The following is a 25,133-nucleotide window of genomic DNA, read 5'->3' on the forward strand; positions in this document are numbered from 1 at the left end:
TCAGTTTGCTATTGTTGCTTTAATGTTTATGTCAAAACGTGCAATGTCACTCCAAGATGAGGGAATGCGGGCTGTGAACTCTGTTGGACCCAAATGTCCTCAAAGGTGGAAAGCTGCCTTCACTCCTCAACGCCCCCACTGTGAGGATGAGGCCAGACACAAAGTAGTATTCAATTCAGTATCATGTGAATGAATGACAGGAAATGGCAAATGAGTGAGTAGGAGAAAGAAAAATGCCTTGTGGAGCAGAGAATTTGCTAAAGGTGGTGATTGTCACTCAAGTATGGTGAGTTGAGCTTTTCTTTTGACTCACTTCACATCACAGACTAATATATCCACTTTAAATCAATGCTCTTCTTCTAATGATTTTTATTGTGGCATGTCAGTCAGGCCAGGAGAGGTCAGGACCTAAATCTGGGCAGCTTGGCAGATGCCTTAGGCTGAATAGGCCACTGAGTCAGTTTCAAAGTTTAGCCCAGATTGGTAGAATCAGGCAGGCATCATAGGTGCAGAGGAAAAAAAAAAAAAAAACAGATCCAAGGAATCAGTGAAGACTCAAGTAAGTAGACACAGAACACCAGTCTAGACAGGTGAGGAAACTTAGTCTAAAACTCTTGGAGCAAGAACATACCTCAGCAGGCTAAAGATTCATAGGAGTTTGAGACCTGAGTCAGAGGCCTCTTGTCTTCTACTTCCGCTGTGTAAATTTATCAGGCTTTAATATTGTACATTCGGTACCAGAAGGGCAGGATGAGCCCTACAAGTGAAACTTTCTCCTGGTCAACTCAAGAGGAGGGAGTTAAGCTTAGGTGGGAAGCTTTCAGTTCTCTACTCTCTTTAAGAAGACAGTCTAATGGCTCATAATCTTGATTCTTCACCAGCGTTTGCTCCAGGTTGCCTAAGGTTTGGGCAAATAGACACGATTTCAAGCTTTGGTTTCAAATCCACTCATAGTCTTCTACTTTACTAAAGTTGGCTGGGCCATGAGTGAACAGAGCTTTCTTGTGCCTAATTGACTTCTTGGTGCCTTTCTTCCAGACCTAGGACTTTCACATTAGGGGTCACAAGTACCCAAGAATAAAGGCGTGTGCCAGAAGGGACTCGAAGCCACAGGGCAAACATAGCACATCCAGAACATCAATTTTGTGTGTGTGTGTGCATGTGTGTGTGTGTGTGTGTGTGTGTAACAAAATGTGAATGAATTTACAAAAACAAACTATGCAGCTTGAAAGAAATGCCAGGATCAGTGCTTGTCATGCCTGCCATACAGGGCTCTGGGGAGTGTGCATTTACTCAGCTCCATGATTAGGGCACATCTGGCGCAAGAGTTGAGAAGCTTTGCCCTCGGGCCGCACACACATCAATCCTACCACTGTGGAGGTGATGGAGGCACTAAAGGTGACTTCCATCCAGGTCATTCATACTTCCCACTCTGAGAGCTTCATTATGTGTTTTCTGAGCCTGACTGCCTGAGCTAAGCGCATCTCATCCTGGGTGCTGAATGCGGGGAGAGGGTAGAGAAAATGTTGAGGTGTCCCCAGAGGCTAGAACGTGTTACCAGTATAAAGGTACTCCCCAAAACACAATCTCAAGCTTTTGCTGGTAGCCGCATGATTTTAGAATATTAGGTCCATATTTATATAGAAGTTCTGTTAGTCCTGACTACAGCAAATGAAGTCAAAGATTTGAGTGAGGAAAGGCAATAAAAAGGAAAGAAAGGCTTAACTGTGCAAAGACAAAAGGTATCTACAGCAGGCAGAGGGAAAAAAACAGAGTACGGTTGGAAAGACCGTGAAGTTCATGTAGTTCAATCAAGCATCAGGTGCTTCAATTCTATCATGTTACTGTCTTATTGGTGCCAAGCTTGGCTTGGATGCTTCCAGTTATAGGAACTCACTTCCTCCTCTACTTCATTATATTGCTTAACTCTGACTTCTAGAATATTCTCCTTTATACTTGGCTGAAACAGAAAGATGTGTGGCATAAATTTTACTTTCTCTTTTACTTCTGCTACTCAAAGGAAGAGGAAGCTGTGGGTGCAGATGTTGCTAAGATAAACTACAACTTCCTCCATGACCAGTTTCTGCAGTTTAGGAAGGGCAGAGCCGAACACGTGGCTGAGTTGGGGAGTTAACTACAGACACTTAAGCAAATCAGAATCCTTTGAAACAAAATCATCAAAAGGCCAAGAAGCATTTGTAAGGGCTTTTGACTACAACCTAACATTCAGAGAGAGTTGATCAGAGAGAGTTGTTGACACACTAAAAATTCATTACTTTTATTTACATTGAAATTTATTTACTTTATTAAAAAATATTTTTGTTGGTTAAGGTTGTTTGTACAAACTTGTAATTTTAATATTTAAAAAGTTGGAAGAGAATGATAGTATTAGGTAATGATAATATTACTAATTTTTACTCCATGGATGAGGTGGCATCATGCTATTTCCAATTGATAGTGGCACACCAAATTGCAGAGTCATGTTGTTAAAAGAATGCATTCCCAAGATTAGATTGGTTAAATGATAACAAATGCACAGAGGTCATTCTGTTGTGACTGAAGCTCAAGTGATTACTAATATACACATTAATACAACAATGTCTCCTAATAATAGACATAATTCTCATAATTCTAGGAACCTTGGGGTGGGGTGGTAGCCTGGAGAAAAAAAAGGTAAGGGTGGCAGATCAATTGATTTTCCTGCTAGTTGAGATCAACTATCTCTGCCAAAATAGTCTTCCTAATTGCATAAAGTTATATGCAGCATGGATAAGAATTGTTTACTCTGCCATTCTACCTATTTTAACTTTTTTAAAAAAGAGAAATTTGTTGACATTTCAAAGCCTTCATCTCAAACATTTGAGACATAAAAATCCCCTGAGGAGAACATTTTAAAGACAGGAGGAAAAGATGCCATCCCAGAGGATCTGATGCAGGAGGGTTGGCATTTGATCCAGAAATCTGTATATTGCATAAACTCCTAGTTGTTCCTGTTGCTGGTGATCTACAGGCATTTTTAGGAATAATTGACACTGACAGAACATATTATACGTGCCTGAAGTGAGCCTTGAATACCAGTAGGTGGCTCTATAACATCTTAAATCAGGGACTTTGCAGCTAACTAGCTAACTAGCTAGAAAATAAAGGCTCTGAGGCCTTTATTTCCTCTCAATTTCCTTTTCAGGGATTGGAGGTGGCGTGGGAAGGAGAAATGGAAGAGGATGCTGGAATGTGGTGTGGTAGACGGAAATGAATGGATATTAAAATGAATTTTACAATCATCACTTGTTAGTAGCCCTCTCAAAAGTATTATAGTAACGACTACTGTTAAAATAAATTTTCTGAAAGCATACCAGAAAAACTTAATGTCCAATAAACTTAAAAGGCACAGAGGCTCTTAGGGTCTTCCTGAACACCGAGCTTTCAAATCTGGGAGAAACAATCTTATGGCCAGCCATTGCTGCCGTTCACTCTTGTCTCATTACAGAATCCCAGTTGTGGGCCATAAATACCAAGTGGGCATGAGGTAATATAGACAACGCTACTTCCTGCTTAAGCTTCTGCTTCTCTTCTACCCAGTTTCTCAAGGACACACCACCTGGGTATAATCCGGGAATGGTCACAGTAAAAATGACAAAACAATAGTCTCCGGCTCTACCCCAATCAACAAAATAAGTGGATCCCAATCCTCTGTCTTCTGATGTCAGGAATGTGTAAGTTGTATCATGTGTCCACAAGTGTGTGCCTCAGTGTCTCCATTTCCTTGGAGGCTCCTGAAGATCCCCAGTTGCTGCAATGATGTCACTCTTCCTGGAGGTAATTGCTGCTGCTGTCGTCACGTCCCAGCACCACCTATGTTGGTTGCATCTCCTCATTCTCCTCTGATCTTTATCATACAGTCTTTTGGCTTGAGCTGGGTGAAGAAGCTTGGGAAAGACTAGGAATAAACTCTACTGGTACGAGGCCATAAAGCAAAGCAGCTTCTACTCCATCCCATCTTTCGTTTACTTGGCTCCTCATTTCAGTCCCTTATTCCTTTTCCACCCACCCCACTCCCCAGCCAGAAAAAAAAATTGTGTGTGACGCATCACTGTGGAACTCAAAGCATCATATAACCTCACTCTCCTCTAGGCAATATCCCTCGACCAAATACATGTCTGTGTTCTGATTCTGCTTGGGATCTGTTCCTTCCCCATCTCGTACACAGCCTGGGAAGTAAGACAGTCCTGGGGCTTAGCTCTGGGGACCAGGGACAGCCCTGGTCCCAATATCATTAAATCAATATGCTTCCTCCAAGGCTTTTTGGGTGCCTTTAATCAAGTAAAATCAGGCCGGCTTATCCTGCCAACTACACATGTCTGAATGGCAAGCTGTTTTGGTGCTTTATCTGGGATCCTCACTACTCATTTATCACGTGAATCCAAACAAAACAAACCACTTGTAAAGTACAGACATTTCAAACAATAAGGGAGTCTCCAAATAGAGGGCTAAGGTTATAGTCAGCTCTTCAGGAATCCAGCAGGGTCTTTACCATTACATGTCACCTATTATAATTGTAACCCTGGTAAAGGCTGTTTATGAACAAAGCATATTTAAAAGCTTGGAAAATTTTTTATGTTGACAAGAGAGGCCATTGCAGGTTTTTAAGAAGGGAAGCAAAATTATTCACATTGTATTTTGGAAGATAATTATGGCAGAATGGGGAATGGTTGGGGAAATAAGAGTGTAATGGAGAAAAAATTTCCAGAAAACAGATTTGCATATGTATTTACATAAATGAGATTGGTTGTATTCAATAAAAATGGATGAACAGTTTGATGAGGTGTTCAAGTAATAAAAAATAATTTAAGAGATAGGGAAGCTACCCACTCAGGCCTTAGAATTACAGGTCCTTGGGGTGAGAAGTAGGGTTGGGGAGCCAAGCATCAGAGTTCAGAAAAGCCATGCGTTTAGTCTCTATGTGCCAGGTCTTTGCATTTTTTCTCACTTTTCATTGCTTAGATAATTGGTTTCAGTGATTTATCTGAAAGACTCTTTATTTCCCCCAAGCATTCTCCATTCTGCCATAGTTACCTTCCTAAAGTACAATGTGAATCATTTTACTCCCTTTCTCAACCTGCAATGGCCATTTTTGTCAATAGAAAAAAAAAGTGCAACTCTTTAATATGCTTTGGTCATAAACAGCCTTTACCAGGTTTACAATAACAGGTAACATGTAACGGGAAGCCCTTGACACAATGATCAAGAGACCTGGAGTCCCAGCTATGCAACTCACTAGCTATGAGATCTTGGACAGCGTTATGTAGCCACTAAGCCTCAGTATCCTTCGTAAAATGGGAACAGTAATAGTATCTAATTCATTGGGCTCATGTGAAGATTAAATGAGAGTAAATGAACAATATTTCCCACTTCTCTCATATGTCACTCTAGTATATTTTCTGTTTCTCACATCTATCATTCATTGTCATAGCTTTGCCTCTGTTTTCCCAGCTACATATGCCTCTCCCATGCCAAAACCCTCTACCCATTTTCCATGAGCAAAACTTTTCTCAGAATTCAAGACCTGGTTTGAATACCACATCCTCTAACAGTGCATCCCTTGGCTCTTCCTCCATCAAAATATATACCACTTTATTATCCTCCATTTGTGTGTCTCTGTTATCCCTTCATTCTCCCTGATATTACAATTTGTAATTCACATATTTGACTCTCTTTTCTACTGGATTATATATTATCTAAGGATCATTTCACTTTTCTTCCACTCCTAGGACCTACCAGAATGATTTACACACAAAAAAAGCACTCCATTTGGTTGTAATTATTCATTAAAATTTACTTACTTCAAAATTTCAGTCCTACTGTAATTGAGTTCTCTTCTTTTGATGTCATAATATAGAATGTATAAAAATATTAATTATCCAAACTCTAAATATTAATTTTTACTTAAAAAATATTTTTCCCTATACTCCTATAGCATAGTAGAAAAATCCCACTGGTAATTTGGTTTCCATGGCATAATATGATAAAAAAATTATCTTAGAGATTGTTAGCTGAGTTTTTTAAAGCAAATTTATTTTATGATTATAAAAGTTATGTAAAAACATTATAAAATCTTGGAAAAGAGAGAAAAAGCACTGCATATCCTTCCTGTCAAACATGAGCCTGTTCTCTAAGGCCTTGCTACTCAAAGTGTAGTCTGGGCCAGGAGTATCTGCATCGGTTAGAAGCTTGTTGAATATTTGGACTATCAGGTCCATCTCAAATCGATTTAATCAGAATATGATTGATTCACATAGTAATATCTGAAAAGCACTGCTCTAATACACTCCTTGGAGCTCAGCAGAGCATGACATTTACCAAGAGCTTTTACCAAGCATCTCCCTCCTTCCAATAAATACTGAGCACCTGCTATATGCCAAGTACTGTACTAGACACTGTGTTTTCATTTGCTAGATTTTTCCCAAGACTGACTCAGGAATATATGGAAAAAGTGTTGCCCTCCTTTTGAATTGTTTTCTTGGGCAAATCAAGTAACTGTAAATTTAAAAGCTGCCAATTTCAGAGAGGTGCAAATCATCTCATTCTGAAGCGGTTCTACTTCCTTTCAAGTTCTCACTTAGTAATGTTGCTAAGTCTCTAAAATTCGAGGCTTTTTTGCTTTTTTTTTTTTGAGATGGAGTCTCACTCTGTCACCAAGCTGGAGTGCAGTGGCGGATCTCAGCTCACTGCAACCTCCACCCCCCCGGGTTCAAGCGATTCTCCTGCCTCAGCCCCCTGAGTAGCTGGGGCTACAGGCATGCGCCACCACACCCAGCTAATTTTTGTATTTTTAGTAGTGACTGGGTTTCACCATGTTTGCCAGGATGGTCTTGATCTCTTGACCTCATGAGCCACCCTTCTCGGCCTCCCAAAGTGCTGGGATTACAGACGTGAGCCACTGCGCCCGGCCAAATTTGATGCTTTCTAAATATCACTCATTCCTTTCATTAACAGCTGAAAAATAAGGGGAAAAAAGGCACTAAAATTAACATTTCACAGTAGAGACTAAAGAATACATTGTGTTTGCCTTATACCGCTTCCATAAAGTTTTATGTTTGGAAATTTTAGGCTGAAGGGAAGCCCTGAAAGCTGTCACTTCAAAAATAAATCTTAAGATATTACTTCACAGAGTGATTTTTCTAGGAGAGTGGGTGGGAGGAAAAAGCCCAAAAACATTGTTGATGCAAACAGGTAGGTGACATATTACCAGTATCCTGTGGTGTACTTAAAAACAAAGAATACCACGTTTATACTGAAGTACCCTTTAAGCATTAGGAGATATATGAAAAATATTACACACTTTCTTAACATACAAGTGATAATCCTCCAGACCAAACCAAACAAACAAAACAGAAAAACTGGGACTATTATGCAGCAAAGCAGGTTTAAATGAATGTTAATAGCCCGGAAAAGGAAAGATTGATAAGATGTCAAAAGGGGCCACTATGCAGCAGGAGTTATGTGTATGGAAAGGTGGTTTGGGGCTCAGGAGATAAGGTGGGACCACTTGGTGATTAAATGTTAGCTGACCTACAGATCTATATATGAGCCTTCAGTCTTGTCTTAGCTCAGGCAACCGCCTTCTTTTCCCATAAGGTCCTCCTGAGTTACTGAGGACCTGCCTGACCTGGAGCCCTCCAGGACCCTACCGTCAAGCCCTCCGGGTCCCTACCATCAAGTCCAGGGTGCTTTTCTTGATTTGTCTGTTTGCCACGGTGTCCCTGTGATTTTCATGTGCAAAGTCCTCAGATCAGCAGAGACCTCGTAGTTTTCCGTCACGGAGAAGTACCATTTGAAGGAGTAGGGAACACTGCAGAAAGCAGGGAAATGGGTTTGTATGCCTACGAGCCTCCATACCAGCGAGACTCTTTCCAAAATGGGATTTCCAATAGTGCCACCACATTCAGCTCCCTGAATGCTTCCAGACTTTCATTTCATCTACTAAAGGGAATTATGTCAGCAACCCTCCCTGCCTGGTGGGGGTACTGTGAAGAGCAAATGCGACAAGGAATTTGAAAGAAAGTTCCAAACAACAGGACAATACAAATATGTTTCATTATTGCCTCCTCTGTAAAATGGGAATAACTGCACAGAACTGCTGCGTAGTGATGTGTAGGTGAAGCTTAATTATGTAATGCCTGAAACACAAACCATCCTAGATGTTGTCATCCAAATATGAGATACAGCACCTTTCTGGGCCTCTTACCTATCATATTTCTGCTGCTTCTGTGGTTTACGGAAATTGTAACCCTTTCCGTGTGTGTATGGGTGTGTGTGCGCGCGTGTCTGAAAGAAGGAAGGAAACATTTGCGGTCGCGGTGAACATCTGAGTGCTGACTGTGTGAGGGGCTGGAGGAAAGAGGACCTATCTGAGGACCGACTGGCCGAAGCCTGCAAGTTTCCACAAATGCAGTCGCTGCCGCGGCGTCTGTCTACACACACACTGGAAGGCAAGAGTAACGGAGGGAGGAGACTGGGGAGCAGGGAAGGCGTGGGAGCGGGACAGAGGGGCAGCCCGGAGAGCGCTGGCCAATCGGAGCGCGCTCCGCCAGCGGCCAATCACGGGCCGCCTAGCCCGGCAAATCTGCCCGGCAGTGCGGGGAGGGGCTGCTGGGAGTCCTGGTGCCGCCGGCTGCACTTCTGTGTGTCTTTCAGGAAGCCACAGGGCAGGGGGCGTCTGTGCAGAGAAGCGGGGGAGTGAGTAGCAGGCAGGCCCAGCTTGTGTACCAGCCCAGTGACATATATAGAAACATAAATCAGGCTAGAGCCGGCGCGCCCGGGCGCGCACCTGTGTATGGACCCGCAGGCATGTCTGTACACTGGGTGGGCACCTGTCTTGTGAGTGGCTCCGGGTGTGGCTGCTCCTCGGACTTTCAGTTTATGTAAGATTTATCTCTAGGGGCCTACCTTCCCCCATCTCCAGAGGGGAACATAAGAAGTTTAACGGAGCTGGGACTGAGCAGATTAAGGGAGTGGAGCGGAGGCTGGGCCGGAGAGAGTGGGGACTGTGAGTGCTAGTGGGTAAGGATCCATCTGTTTGCCCCGTCCCCCAGCCAGAAAGGCATTTTGGAAAGACTGGCGTGGCAAGCGTCGCCCTGAAACGTCCACAGAGCCCAAGAAGTGATGATCACTGAGTGAGTGGCACTGGGCTGAGACTGGCCAGTTTGTTAACAACAGGGATGCTAGCAGTTAGGAAGGCCAGGAGGAAACTCAGGATGGGGACCATCTGCTCCCCCAACCCCAGCGGGACAAAGACATCATCGGAGGTCTGCAATGCCGACTGGATGGCCTCGCTCCCCCCTCACCTCCACAACCTCCCCCTTTCCAATCTGGCAATCCCAGGTATTCGTCTATTCCTACTTGTTCCCACTGTGTTTAATTCTGCCATTTTAGTGTTGTTAAGGGGTTGGGTTGCTTTTCTATTGTGCTGAGAAATTAATTGTCAGTGACCCCTTTTTATTTCCAAACCAAAAACTTAACACTGAAGCAGCTGCTTTAAAGAGATTGCAGTACACTGCATCATTGGTAAAAGGACTCATGAAAACAGAAGCATCATTGTTTTTGTTTGTGGTTTTTTTGTTTGTTTGCTTATATTTGCTAGCCCCATTCTAAGAATATTATCCTTCTTACTGTTGTTATGTGTATGTGAGGGGTGCATTGTCTTAAATCACTTGAAGGGGAAATCAAAGGCAATGAATTAAAAGTCACAAACAATTTAGATCTGGATCAAAATTAAAACTGAAAAATATTTTATTTCTCATTTATCTGACCTTGTGTATTGGAAAAACAAAAAATGGATAAGCATTAGAGAATAGGTTCAGAATCAGAACTGAGTATAAAGACACATTTTTGTTGTTAGAAAGCCAGAATAGAGAATGCAGACTCTCATCACAGGCAGTCATTAGGTGTGATGAGGTGGTGGTGTTTGAAGCTTTGTCTCTGTATGTATGTATGTATACAGGTGTCTGCCTGACTGATTTAGAACTGCAGCCTTGAAAAGCACTTCTGCTCCAGCCACTGTCTCTCTGCCGGAGGTTTTATGCCTTGACATCATTTGTTAAATGTGTCCTCTTCCTTCCACTCAGAAGGTGGTTATTGTATGTTTTCTAGGGAAGGATATTTGGACAGTGAGTTTGGCCTGGTGTGCTGAGCAAGTCCTACAAATGCTGATACTGGAAAGCACTCCTAGAAGCAGGGGATGGACTACTGCCAATCCTTTATTTCACTCGGAGACATAACAATTGAAGTTCACCCACAGACTACCAGACAAACTCCCAAGTATTCCCTAGACCCGTCTGGGTTTTTTTTGAGGTTTGGTTGGTTTTTTTGTTTGTTTGTTTTTGGTGGCTGAAAATCTGACCTCATGCAACTCCCGATCTTTGCTTTCTGTGCATGAGGAAGAGCAGTGGTGGCTTCAAATGCAGGCTTTTCTTTACTCACCTCCTCTTTTGGGTGTCTTCCAGGTTCATTGTCCTCATAGGCCCCGGTTGCTTTTGAGCAAGGAGAGGGCTGCGAAATTTCTTTATAGTTATGATCATGTATGTTTTATCAGCCATTGACTACAGTTCCTTGGGAAATGCCAGATGGGCATGCTTCAGAACAGGTCTTTTCCATGTTTAATTGGCGCCTGTGGAGTTGTCACTGAAATGATGCATGGGCCACTTTTAACATTAGTCATTTGCCTTCAGGCCTTCTGATGGAATTATTTTGTTGAGTGATATGGCAGGTAATATGTGTTTGCAAACAGAATGGCATCTTTGGCAGGCCCTAAATGGCTGTGTCATTCAGGGCATGTCCGGGGTAGGTTGGGGCTTCCTCCTTCCTTGTTGTACTTTGGCTCAAACCATAACTCCAGCTCTGCTAGTGGGTTGGCTGTGTACTCTGACCCCGTGACTGTAGAAAGGAGTTGGGCATTTGTTCTGTGATTCATAGGATATCTCACAGTTACTAGAATTGCTTGGGTAGCGGGGGAGCAAATAGCTGGTGCCAGCTGCTGAAACTGGAAATTATATGATTAGCCACCATGGAGATCATGCAAATTCTTTCACCCTGCTTTGTGAAGTCCGGTCCTGCTAAGGAAAAAGAAAAAAAAATGGCTTTGACTCCTCAAAAGATGCTGAATTCACTGCTGTGAAATGCCGTTTCCTCAGCAGTGGAAGGGACATTAAGTGTATGTATGTGTAGGCTCAAGACAGGAAAATTACATATTAAATGCTAGCCATTCATGGACTTCCCCCTACTAGTTCTCTTTCCTCTACCTCGAGCTTCATACTCACCAGATAAAAGCTGGCAGTCAAGTCAAGTTCTACCAGTCCTTGCTGAGAAATCCTGAAATATAGTAGGCATTTGGGAAATGGGGGCCATCATCGTCCCCCTACTTCCTCTTTAACTCTTCCCTCTTATCATCATCTGCATCATAATAGCTATTATGTACTGAGCACTACCACGCAGGACCCATTGGCATACATTACCTCCAGTCCTCATAACTCCATGAAGTAGGTATTAACATCCTCACTTTAGAGTTAAGAAAATTATTGTTCAAAGAGGTTAAGTAATTTTCTCAAGATCACACAAATAGTAAGTGGTAGATGTTGTATTTAAGCCCCTGTGTAGCTGCAAAACCCAGGCACTGTCTCTGTGCCCCTGAGGGGTCTTGGGAATGGCAGAGCAGTGGGTGTAATCTTTAACTGAAAGCCAGTTTCTTCAAACCATCCTCTGCAGTGAATGAAAGAATTTTTAAAAGCGAGTGGTATTTGTCTAAGTGATTATCACTTTGAATATATAGGTAGATACATACATATTATATGCACATCTACTTGTGTACATATATACATATTATATATACATATGCCTGTTTAGAATTGAAACCCAGTAAGTTTTAAATTCAATTTTAGTGCTTCAACCTGTTGTGTGCGTGTGCGCCCACATGCCCAATCTGGGGCATCTATAGGACTGGGTCAGATCTATCAGGATGGTGATGAGGCGGGGGACATGGGAAAGGGCAGGGAAAAGGCAAGCCTTCTGGCAACAATAGCAGAAATGAGATGGAGTAAACTATGCCACGTTTGAGTGCACCTGCTGCCTTTGCCTAAGTCATGATGGGAGAGAACATGTGTGAATGTGCACCTCTCAACAGAGCCTTGATGTATTATTTTACTTCCGCAACTGTTAAGAACACCTGTTAATGGCCAATACCACCAAACATATTAAAATATCTTGGAGAAGAACCTCAAAATAATTCTCATTGCTAACTGTATAGAATCATTTGATGTCTGAAGGATAAAGGATCCAGACATCATAAAAGACAGATTTTTAAATTAAAGCTTTAAACTCTACAAACATTTTCACTGATTTTTGTAAAAGCGTGATATTCTCTATGGACAAATGGACTAATGGGAAGACATTTCTCTATAATGTATACTGCTTTTCAATGAATTTTTTCTCTGTACATTTTAATGCTATTTCATTTTTTAAAAAACACTTTCTTTCTTATTAAAGGTAAACTACTTGGTTTACATTTTGGGAAGGTTCTATTGGGAAGAGCCTTGAACTTAAGGGTTGCAAAATTTATTGTTGATTCTTGCTGTGTAATATTGAAGAAGTATCTAAATTTCTCAGGACATAGTTTCTTTATTTGTAATTAAGATATTGGGTTAAATGAAATATAGAGTCCTTTCCAGATTAAAAATTATGTGATTAATTTGAGGGTTTTTTTGTTTTATTTTGTTGCCTGTTCTTTGTCCAATGTAGAAAGAGCTGGAAGGAATGATTGGGTCATTTTAGGTCTAAAACCTATTTCTTTTATGCCTCTTCAAAACAAGAAAATGTATAAACAAGGTTTCACAATTGCCAGAATGAAGCAGGGTCTATTCACTTTAGCCTCTTAAAAGGGGCTGTAGATTACTTGATGCAAATGAACTTTTACCTCATCAGACCCTAAGTGCACTTTAAGAAACCTCCATAGAGATATTTATATATATATGTATATATGTACCTTCATCATACATAGTTTTTTTAAAAAGAACTAATTAGAAGAAATTTTAAACCAGAGATATAAATAACATGTTACAGAAGCACACAGAATGGAAAGATTAATTCCACCTTCTGAGAATTAGGAACTACCTTGTTGAGAAAATAGCATTTGATCTAGAATTTGAGGAATGGTCAAGACTTCAAGGGATATGGGTTGAGGGTCAGGGTTGGGAAGGAGGCTTTCCAGGTGGAATGGGGGTATATGGGAGTAAATGGGGGTATATGAGGGAAATGGCTAGAGGACACCCTCTCTGGTCCTTCCATATCCCTGTTATAGTTTCTTTGTCATAGTACTTCTCAACACATTGTTATTTTTAAGTGTATGTTTTTCCCATGTGAACAACTTGCTGACAGAAAATATCTTATTTTCCTTTATAATCCTGAATCGCAGTAGAAGGTAGCAGCGCAGTCATTGGTGACAGTTGAGTGAATAATTGAAAGTATGGAAAGTATGGAGTAAGAATGCTGGAAACATGGTTTGCAGCCACCGCTGTTTTTCATTGTGATCAGAGCTGAATAGATTGGTTAAGTTCAGCTTTCACAAATAGCCACATGAAACCATATGAAGATTTTCCAATCCATTTCTTGTTATTGCGCATAATATTCCTGAAGATTAGGCTTGATAAGGCTCATCACTAAGCCCCATTAGAAATGAAAATTTTGAGGCTGAAAATGGTCGCAAGAGTCAGAAGCAGAGCCCTGGTGTAACTTCTTTTCTAGGAGCGATTCTTTCACCCAACATCCCTCCTGCCTTCCTTCTTCCCTTGTCAAATTAGAGCTTTTCATCTTTGCTGCCTGGCTGCTGCCTCTCCCAGATCTCATTTCTTGTTCCCCTCTTTGCTTTCTTTCCACTGACCTGACCTGGTCTCCAGCCTTCCCTTGGCAGGGTCAACCCTTCCACAGGTGCTCCTCACTGCTCTCCGATTCCCAGATGATTCTCTGATCTCATGTTGCTAGTGATCATTCCCTTCTTTTCTTTTCTACCTTTCTGGAATCCTATCCTTTTCCTAGCAGTTTTGCCCTTGAGTACTTAGTGATTTCTATAGGTCTTCCTCCTGTGGCCGCACACCCTCTTCCCACATGTGTGACATGGAGACAAAATCCCTTAGTGGAGCAGGATGGAGTCATTACTCAGATCTTGCTTCTGAAAGTTGAACCAGATTTGGCATATCTAAAAGAGATTTGGAGACCACCCCAAAAGAGCACAAAATAAATTGTGTAACAAGAAGTTTTGGTTGGCTCTACTTTGAGGATAGTATGAACCGTGAGTTGGCCCTAAAACAAATCCATTTTCCTACAGGATTTGAGGTTGTGGGAAACCAAGGACCAAGCTGAATCTACCAAGGCTGACTCAATCATGAAAAAAAAAAAATCATACAAGACCAAAACTGTCTCTTAAATGAGAATCGTTTATTTTTGTTTTGTTTTGCTTTTTCCCCCCTCTGAGTGGCCATGGTGAAAAATAAAAAGACACTATGACTGTGGTGGTTCCATTAGTAGGTTTCACTCTTAAAAAGGCTCATCATTTCTCTAGCCATCTCTCCTCCTGCAAATCACAAAAGCCACAAGGAATTCCAGAATCACACATGTCTATAAACAGAAAGATCATGGATTGGTTAAGAGTATGAATACAACAGCCAGACTATCTGGATTTAAATACTGATTCTGCCCTTTACAAGCAGTGTGACTTTGGACAAATTACTTAACCTCTCTGTGCCTCAGTGTCCTTCTCTGTAACACAGGTAATCTATGCACCACCTCATTTCTTAGTGTGAGAAATAAATTAATTCATATAGTATGCTTTCTCTCACAAAATAAGCACTAGATAATAATAACAATTGTTATTATGTATCGTTTAAAAAAATCAATCAGAACATTCATTTATTGAAAGCCTGTGACTGGAATGGACAACAAAAAAGAGGTGTAAAATGCAGTTTATACCCTCAGGTAATTTACAATCTAGTTAAGGAGCTGGCTGTCCAATTAAACTGTCTGACTCAGTGTTCTCTGTCTGATCAGATTAGGGTAACTTGAATGGTTACCCTGCAAAGGAGGCTTTAAAGTTAAGGGAAGGATACACGGAGGGTTCCCCAGGATGTGAGTGCCAAGGGTGTCTTAGATGCAATAGCAGGTGGCTGATCAAGACAGCCAGAAAACTTTCTTTAGTTATTTACTCTGTCCTGTCCCATCCCAAATTCAGCTGTCAGACTGTCATCCCCAGACATCCAGAGCCTTTGGGAAAAACTCAGCCCTCTGTGACAGAAACATGTTGTTAACTTTTTTCTGCTCTCCTCATTTCCTCATCACTTGCCCTCCTAACCCAGTCATTTTGTTCCTAGCTTGAGAGTGGGAATGTTACAAAATGCTTTCCTTTGAACAAATCCTTATACATGTTTTATAATTCCTTCCCCCAGCTATTGGAATAATAGCTTCATCATCCCTCCAAACACATACATCACCCACACATGCAACACACATGTACCACCCATTACCCAACACACACACATGCACAGATACTTAGCTATGACGTTAGCCTCAGCCTCAACCTCCACTGGGCCCAAATCTCAATACATGCTATCGTTCACCAGTCATAAATATCTTGCAAAACATGCCCACTGACACTTCAGACCCTTGGAGCGTGCTGCTTGCACCTGCAAGCTCCTCTCTCAGACATGTTTCTGAAGCTGAGGAGTTGGTTTCTAACACGTGATCTGACCTGACCTCCACTAGATTGACAGGTAGCTTCTACATCTCTCTCCTGCCTCTAGGAACTTAGGAGCACAGGCACACTAAAGGTAATGCTAGTGAAATGCTTTAGCGTCCTGCAACTTTGCCTCTGGGAAAATCGCAAACCACTTTGCCAATGCTGACTAACCCCAATTAGAGTTTCAAACCAGGCCTGCAGAGGAGGGATTATTTGTAGACATTGTAATAGGTGGGTGTGTTTGTGTGTGTGAAAAGAATTTGAACACGCATCAAGAACCAAATTTAGGTGGAGGAGATCTGTGACTAAATTTATTTTAGTATTTACATTTGTGGTTAAGCAGGAGTCCTTCCACCTTCTCTCTTGTGTTGTTAAACATCGATAGGAATTTGGATTATATTACTGAACACTGTGAGGATCAAAGTACATGGGAGGATTATATTAGTAGGTCTCTAGGTAACTTCAAGATAAAAGAGGTTGAGCTACAGAGGTCTGCATTGCTCTAAGGGGCATGCCTAGGTTATATCATCTATGAAACACAGGCAGTCTTTTGTGGATTCATTGTCTACTAAGCAGCTAAAATTTTCTAAGAAAATAACAGGTTGGGGTTTTTTTGTTAATGTCCAATTACTCTAGAACTGTCAGCTGTAAAGTATCATTTCTTCTTAGAGAATGTTCTATCAGTATTTTTATTTCTGTTCAGACCTGACAAGATGAAAATAAAGGAAAAAATAGTACACATTTGTGCGCTATAATGCAAATGTCTTGGAGTGTGGCAGCAGTCTGCAGTAGTGGTGGAACTGAAAAATGCCTAGGCCCTGTCAGACTGAGATGAATATTTTATGAACATGTATGATTTGGAGGCTTATATATTAAAAGCATTATTTTTAAAGTGCGATTGAAACCAGATACACCCCTCCCCAAATAAATGCCAAACAGAGAAAGGTGAAAACAGCATTCTCGTCCACCCTCCCCAGGTTCGAGTTTAGGTGATCATCTTGGCAGTAGGTGTCCATATGGATCCTCACAAGAATTATATGAGTGTGTTGTGTTAATTTGGCTAAAAATATATGTCAGTGCCTGCATACTCCTTTTGCTTCTTTTGGTTCTCATTGCCTATATTTAAAAAATTGTATTCATTTAAAGGAAAATCATTAACTCAAAAGGTAGTTACTGAATGCCCTTTTGTGCCAGGTACTGTGTTAAATCGGGTGATCACACAGATTTGTAAGATTCTTCTCCCTGCTCTTCCTGAAAATATGACCTTAGAAGAAAGCCAAAATTCAAACATGATAGAGAAAATGTATGGGGTCTGTAACACTCAGAAAACCAATACCCAATTCTGTTACTGGTAGTAGGAGGAAAGCTTGGTAGGTTGGACTTCCAAGAGCACCCTTGGGTTGAAATATAAATAGCGAGGAGTAGAAAGCCAGGTGTCCCAGTGCAGAGGGACTGAGGAGTCAGACAGCATGGTGACCTTGGGCAAAGCCAAGCAGTCTGGTGTGGTTAGAGCATGGATTTTATTTAAAGAAAGGAATAGATATGAGGCTGGGAAAGTAGGCAAGAACTAGATCCTAATGAGCCTTATATGCCCATGCCAAGATTGAATGTCATCCTGATGGCAAAAAGCAGCCATTCAAAGAGTTGGTCAGAAATGGGTGGAAAGTCCCCCCTAAAATAACTGCATAAGAGTGAAGTGAAACAAAATGACCCAGCAGTTATTAGGGATACTGTGGGTTAAGATGAGAAACTCATTGTTTCTTTCACTCTATTCAACACTTGTATAATTTTCTTCCATATACTGGGCTCTCTCCTAGGCACTGGTGATTCAGTGATGATCAATACAGACATGGTCCTTGCCTTCAAAGAGCTGACAGTATAGTTGGAGAAATGGTCATTTAATCAAGCAGTTATAACACAATATGCTATGTAGGATGACTGGAGAGGTATACATTACTGCTGGAAGAAGCATATAGCAAGGGCATCTTAACAAGACTAGGGAGGCCTCCTGGAGGAAGTTATGAATAAACTAAACCCTGAAAAATACACAGAAATTAGCCCTCAGGATAAGATAAACACAGTAAGGATGCTCTAGAGGGGGAAATAAAATGAGTGAGGATCTTGAAGAGAGGGAATGGCCCATTTAACAAACCAAAATAGTTTATTATGGTTGTACTGTGGGTTGCAAGGAGGAGACTGTCAGGGAGTAAAGTGGCAACATACTTAGAGGTCTTAAAAGCCATGTTAGGCCAGGCGTGGTGGCTCACACCTGTAATCTCAGCAATTTGGGAGGCCAAGGCAGGCAGATCACAAGGTCAAGAGATCGAGACCAGCCTGGCCAACATGGTGAAACTCCATCTCTACTAAAAATACAAAAATTAGCTGGGCATGGTGGCATGCACCTGTAGTCCCAGCTACTCGGGAGGCTGAGACAGGAGAATCGCTTGAACCCGGGAGGCAGAGGTTGCGATCAGCTGAGATTGCGCCATTGCACTCCAGACTGCTGACAGAGTGAGACTCCATCTAAAAAAAAAAAAAAAAAAAGGCATGTTAAAGTTATCTTACTTCAGGCTGGGCACAGTGGCTCATGCCTGTAATACCAGCACTTTGGAAAGCCGAGGCTGGTGGATCACTTGAGGTCAGGAGTTTGAGACTAGCCTGGCCAACATGGTGAAACCCCATCTCTACTAAAAATACAAAAATTAGCCAGGCATGATGGCGGGCGTCTGTAATTCCAGCTACCTGGGAGACTGAGGCAGGAGAATCACTTGAACCCAGGAGGCGGAGGTTGCAGAGAGCCAAGATCATGCCATTGCACTCCAGCCTGGGCGACGGAACAAAACTCCGTCTTAAAAAAAAAAAAAATAAAGTTAACTAACTTTACCTGAACAGGAGTGGGAAGGGTTTTAAGCATGCAAATCACAAGGTCAACTTTGTGTTTTGGAAAGATCACTCTCGCTGCAGCACAAAGTATATGGGAACTAGGAAGTACTGTAACCAAGGGGACCAATTAGGTTGCTGATGAGGTCATCCAAGTGGGAGGCGACCCTGACCTGAGGAGGAGGGTGACAGCATGGACAAAGAAAAAGAGAAAGTGTCAGCAGGACTTGGCGATTAATTGGAGGGCAAAAGAGAAGGTGCAAGGGGCTTGGGTGAGAGAGAGGAAGTTAGTGGCATTCTCAGGAATATGGATAAAGGAGAAGGAGCAGGTTTAGAGGTGGTGGAAGGAAGCAGGTGCTTAGTCTGGGGCATGCTGAATTTGAGGCACCTGTGGGACATTTCAGAATTGGGAGAAGGGCACAGGTGGGACACAGTGGAGATGGTTTCAGAGCTAAATCTTCACATTTCACAATTTGCCCAACCTTCTACCCTCACTAACAGCTACTATTATACCCAATATCAGAAGGTTTGAATTTAAAGCTGATATCCTCATTTTTAGATTATATATTTTAGATTTGAACTAAGATTGTACTTCTTTTAGAAAATTTGTTGAGTTTCTATTCCCAGAGAGGTGCCCCCTCGTGTTTGTCTAGTGTCCAGTGTTCTGCCTGTTCTGTATGAATTCTCTCTTGGCAGCTTGGGCATGAGTGTAGGAGTTAGCTTGTGTATACTATACCATAAACCAGCTGTGAAATGGAAACTTTTAGTTGCTTTACCACAATCATCAAACACAATTTATTTCATACATGGACATCTCAGGTTGCACCAATAAGCTCAAAAAAAGCAGGAGAATTTTGCAGTAGAATAGTTCATTTAATGTAACTTTTTCTCCTACCCTAAACATTTTTCTGGTTTCTCCTAAAGCTTATTATTGTTCTTTCTTGTGTGTTTACAAAAAGGTTGTTAAAGCAAATATGGTTATCTCAGAGCTGAGAAGGCTTATTAGGGAATGACCAAGTGCCCCTTGCAAGGGGTTACTTCACAAAAAGATGACGCCATCTATTTGGAGACAGAGCAGGATGCATGGTAGCAGAATAGAAGAATTTCTTGTGAATGAATTATCTACAATGTCTTATTTGGAGTAGGGATTGGGGTCTATTGGACAATTGAAGAAGAGAAAATCTTTCAAAAGAGAATAGGTACCCCTCCCCATGTAGAGGGCTTTAAAATGCTCCCCCCCACAACATGGGATTGAAAACCCTTTGGCTCACATAAATCATAGGACGTTGGAGCTAACTTGGGGAATACCTTGGGCAATGGAATGCTCATTGTGCCTTGCAGAGCAGGGAAGGTTTAGTACCCTTTGGTGCCCCTCTGGCAATCTCAGGTTAAGGGGTGGAGACTGTTGGGGAGAAACTTCAACTAGAGAAGGTCTGGTTGCATTTGTTTCACACATAGATACTTCATTTGAAAGTATTGCAGGTCTAAAAAGTACCCTGTAAACCTCTGATTTACTTCAATTATCTCTGAGCTCATCCAGCCAGTTGCAGGGGTAGACCAAGACAGACTTTTTTAATTCCCAGGCTGTCTCTCCTCAGACAGTGAGATGCACCTTGGCTTCTCAGCACATAAAAAAGAATAAGTTGATCAACATCCTCTGCTTCCAAGTATTCTGCCTTAAACAGTTGCTTTATTGCATTGTGGATAATTATGAATTTAATAGGCGACTGATTAAAAATTAAATTGGCCACATGGCTCTCTCAGATTTTGCAGGCAGTTTGATGGTTATTATGAATACTCTCCCACATGCCTCATGGAAAATAAACAAGTATGATATGTTGAGAAGAAGGTTTAAAGATGTTATCTTTGGTTCAAGGGACTACTAAGTGGCCCCCCTCATTTGGAATCTTGGACTCATAATGACTAATTTTGTATACCCTAAAGATGCCTCAGCCTTTCTCTACTTGTTAATATGGAGTCAAGCTCTCTACAAATGTCACATTTTTCTCAAGGACCTAATTCAGAAGTGTGAGATTGGTGGCTCCAAAGAGATATTATTAGAATATAATTTATGCAGGCATAAGTTTCAGGAAATCTCTCTGGTACCTTTCTTTTAAAATTGTTCAATGTAATATTTTATTATAGTTGTTCCTTTAGTCATCCTTTCTGGTTAATTTTGTCCTCTATGTTTTCTGACACATTCCTCTTCATTGACCCAGATAACTCAAGCTAGAAGGAAAAAGGGAGATAAATGGAGCTAGGAAACAGGTGCAAGGGGTGAAAAGGAGCAGAGAGTGAACCCTACCTGTTTAATGTTGGATGGACCTAATAGAAGTTTGGGAAAGGATCAGGAGAGCTAGGCCCACCAGCCTTAGGCAACTCTCTGAGCATCTGTTCATTCAAGTATCCATGCTTGTATTTATTCTGTATAGATGCATTTAGTACCTACTAAATTCCAGAAACTAAGTTTGGAGATATAAGCGTGAAGTTGACATGTTCCTGCCCTGAAAGACTTTCACTTAGGTGGCAGAGACAGATGTGGAGATAAATAGCACTCAATGTCCTAAGTTCATCAAATATCAACTCACTGCCATGGAATCACAGAGGAAAGAACAGGTCAGTCTCCTTGGTAGAGTCAGGTGAGCTCACAGACTAATGATGGTAATTAAAATGGAAAGGCAAGGGACAATAAGATTGTCCCCAAGGACTCTAAGGGTTTTTTGTTTTCTTAGACAAGTCTTTTGCTATATTCAATGACCATAAGGCGTACTTATATGTATTAATAACTTTGTAAATTAATATATTCTTAACTCAGGCCTCAAATATTTTAACATGCACAATTATTATCTGTTCATATTAAATTTATTGTAATATTTGTATGGATTAAATACCTGAATTGGAATACAAGATGTTTTTCTATGAAAGCCACCCTAAATATCTTCAGCATTTAAGAACACATGTTCATCCCTCTGTTCTTTATGGGTTTTTTCTTTCTTTCTTTCTTTTTTTTTTTTTTGTTTTTGAGACAGGGTCTTGCTCTGTCACCCAAGCTGGAGTACAGTGACGTGACCATGGCTCACTGAAGCCTCAACCTCCTGGCTCAAGCAGTTCTCCATCTCAGCCTCCTGAGTAGATGAGACTACAGGCACATGCCATCACACCTGGCTAATTTTTTTTTATTTCTAGTAGAGACCAGGTCAGGCTGGTCTCAAACTCCTGAGCTCAAGCGATCCTCTCGCAATGACCTCCCAAAGTGCTGGGATTACAGGCATGAGCCACTGTGCCCAGCCTTTTCTTATATCTTTTATCCTCTCTCTCTCTTTGTTATTCACACAGGAGGCACTATGAAAAAGTAGTTCAGAGTGTAGGTTGTAGGCTCAAATCCTCGCTACTATTAATAGTTGCATGACCTTGAGTAAAAAGCTTTACCCCTCTGTCTGTTAGTTTTTTCATCTGTAAAATTGAGATAATTATAATATCCACTTCAAAAGTGCAAAGTTAGAGGAAGCACAAGCTGGAAGACTACCCTCACTCTGATACCAGTTACAGGTTTGGGAGCCTTAAGATCACCCTTGTTTGATAATTTGCTAGGAAGATTGACAGAACTCATTGAAAGTTGTTATACTCATAGTTACTGTTTATTGCTCTGAAAGGCTGCAGATCAAAATCAGCTAAAGGAAGAGGTGCATGGAGCAAAGTTCAGGAAATTTCCAAATGTGGAGCTTCCAGTTGTCCTCTTCTCATGGACAGTGTTTCTTTCCTCGTATTGATGTGTGACAGTACCACACAAAGTACTGCTAACCAGGGAAGCTCACCTGAGCTTTGGTGTCCAGAATCTTTTCTGGTCTTCCACATGGCTGACCTAAGTATCCAGCCCCTTCAGAGGTTAAGCCCATGCCCATGTGACTCAAATCCTGCACCATAAATCACATCCTTATACTTTCCCTTATGGCCCAAAGCTGTCAGGTAAATAAAGATACTTTGATCAGGCAGGACATTCCAAGGGCTTAAGCAATTGCCTCCCAAGGACTGAGGGCGAAGACCATACCTCCTTTTGGGTAAGGTTTAAATTTTTTACTACACAACAAAGTTACTTAAGAATTAAATTTCAAAAAAGAATTAAACAAGATAAATGTAAATTAACTTTAAAAAAAGAATTAAATAAGATATACAATGTGATTAGAATATTGCCAATTATGAAATAAATATGTTATATATATATATAGCTATTATTATTAAACATCCTTTTGATTACTTAATATATACCTAATATCATAATAGCTACTGTGGGACATTTTTAAAAAATGAACAAGATGTAGTTTGTAGATCTTATAAGAGATATACAAGAGTTCAAATAAAGTAAATAAAAGCAGAATGAGGTGAGTACCATGATAAAGAAACAAGCAAACTGTGCTGGGACCTGGAAAGGGAAAGGTTACTTCTAGTTGGTGGGTAAGGAACTGCTTCAGGAGAAGAGCACCTGTGAGCTGGACTGTGAGAGACAGGGAGGATTTCAACATGAAGAGGGAAGGACATTCCAGAGACAGGGAAGCAAATGCCCAAAATTAGAGATGAGAAAACAAGGGCACCTTCAGGAAACAGAGAAGGGCTGCCATGGTCACCTGTAGAAGTGACAGGAGAAGGAAATGGGAAAGTTACGGAAAGACAGACAAGCCAGTTGGAGAGAGATTTTCAGCACTGTGCTAAGCACTTTATGCTTTGTGTTGTAGACCATAGGGAGCCAGTGACAATTTTGGGCTTGAAGAAAACTGTGAAAGAAAGTGTTCTATCCCTGTTATAATTCCAGTCTTTGAACACCCTCCCTTCCAATAACCCACCTTCGCTTTGCCTCGCCAATTACAGTTCAGTTCAGGTATGACCTCTGTGCACATTTCCATTATAGGACATGATATACCCCATTGGGACTGTTTCTCTCTGCTGTATACAACTGTTTTGTCATTTCTGTATACTTGCTGTCTTGTTCAGAATAAGCACCTTATGATAAAAGTGGAGGGAAAGAAGAAGGAGGGGAAAGATGGAATCTTGAAATATATCTACAAAGAATTTAAGCATAAAAAACAGATATTTAAAAATCTATATTTCTAGTTAAGGAGAAACTAGGACAGGCAGGAAGCAAGTAGTAACGCCTAAGGTAAGACAAAATCTTATAACTGCATTGCAGTCTTCTCAAGATGCCTCAAGGCTTTAAGAGTAAGAACAAGTATAATAATAATAAAAGAAGCAGAAGAAAGATAGCTTGCTCATTTAATATTTATATAGCACTTCCTAGGGGACCGATATTGCTGTTTGATTTATATAAAGCCAATTAATTATTATAATAAATTAATGATGTAGATACTCCTACTATCCCCATTTTACAGATGAAGAAATTCAGTCACAGAGAGGTTAAGCAGATGGCCCCCCAAAATCCTGATAACAATACTAGAATTGTAAAAATTAGGTCATGCCAAATTCATTTAATTGCATTTGAATAAAAGTCATTGATAGAGTTGGAGATTGACCCAGTGTTGGGTTGTAACTTTAGTTTCTTTTGTTGGTTGTAATAAAGGGTAATTTTCTTTTCATCTGAGGCCATTTGCTCCCATGTCGGGACTCTAATGCATGAGCACCCATGAGGATGGTGATGTTTGAAGGACTACATGCTGACCTGTTCTGGCTGAACAAGTTACATTTTTTTTTTCAAGACCAGACATCTAGGAGGCTTTTTATTGACTCAGAACAAAAGCAGCCCAGTGGTTTAAGTGGTCTATGTAGTAATCACCCAGCAAGGCTCCGGCACAGAAAAAAATCTATCTGGCCTCTATTCTGCCTCTACACAGAAAGACCAGCATGAGGCTTTAGCAGGTGTGTAAGCTCTCAGAACACTGGTCTTCAAGGGTGGGGTGTGTTTTCATTCACTTTCCCCGTTGGGTGTAATGTACAAATTCCCTTTAAGCCCACCATTTCATGTAATTTAAACTGCTACTTACTGGATTTTCTCTCCTCCCTTTTCCCTTTCCTCTGTCAGAACACCTAGCTTAGGCCTTTATTTACAGGAAAGAGAAAAAAACCTCTTCTTATCCTGGAGGGGAACTAGCTAAGAAGCTTCTCTGTATCTCATTCTCCAATTTATCAAATGAATCTTAAAATAACTCTGCCCTGTGAAAAATTCCAGCCAAACTAGGTAACTTTAAATATGTTTTTTCAAAGTCCCAATGATAAATTCCATTAAAATGACCCACAAAATAATGAAACAACAGCCTTTAAAGTGAAGGGCACTGTCACATAAATGCTAAACAATAAGTGAACTATTAGCCAATGCATTTAATCACTGTAGGACACACCTAAGACCCAACAGGAATATGGGTCCTAGGAATCTGTGTGAGCAGAAAGAAGGTCTCCAGCAATTTGACGAAATTCTCAGCCAAAAAGCAATAAATACCACTTTAGGCTTGGAATGATTTGCTTTTTGCAAATA

General features: G+C 41.0%; 1 protein-coding gene and 1 long non-coding RNA gene across 2 annotated transcripts in view, besides 2 other annotated features; one reads left to right on the forward strand and one right to left on the reverse strand.

Annotated features, from left to right (window-relative positions):
• Positions 1,908–1,957: an enhancer, noted in NCBI's record as "active region_20224". NCBI's record gives its function as "activates an Ori minimal core promoter by ATAC-STARR-seq in GM12878 lymphoblastoid cells {active_cell/tissue: GM12878}" and the evidence as "EXISTENCE:reporter gene assay evidence [ECO:0000049][PMID:35858748]".
• The window catches only part of PLCXD2 (phosphatidylinositol specific phospholipase C X domain containing 2), a 52,332-nt gene continuing 35,847 nt past the window's right edge, over positions 8,649–25,133 (forward strand). The window contains exon 1 of the mRNA NM_001413064.1: positions 8,649–9,381. Within this exon, the coding sequence (NP_001399993.1) occupies positions 9,219–9,381 (163 nt within the window). The 5' untranslated portion in view covers positions 8,649–9,218. The remainder of the gene's footprint in view (positions 9,382–25,133) is intronic.
• Positions 8,707–8,806: an enhancer, noted in NCBI's record as "active region_20225". NCBI's record gives its function as "activates an Ori minimal core promoter by ATAC-STARR-seq in GM12878 lymphoblastoid cells {active_cell/tissue: GM12878}" and the evidence as "EXISTENCE:reporter gene assay evidence [ECO:0000049][PMID:35858748]".
• Positions 10,239–11,406, reverse strand: PLCXD2-AS1 (PLCXD2 antisense RNA 1). Its single transcript, NR_046733.1, has 2 exons — positions 11,316–11,406; positions 10,239–11,108 (listed from the first exon to the last, which is right to left on the reverse strand). It is a non-coding gene; the product is annotated as a PLCXD2 antisense RNA 1 (long non-coding RNA).

The sequence above is a fragment of the Homo sapiens genome, chromosome 3, assembly GCF_000001405.40.
Source record: "Homo sapiens chromosome 3, GRCh38.p14 Primary Assembly".
Classification (NCBI taxonomy): domain Eukaryota; kingdom Metazoa; phylum Chordata; class Mammalia; order Primates; family Hominidae; genus Homo; species Homo sapiens.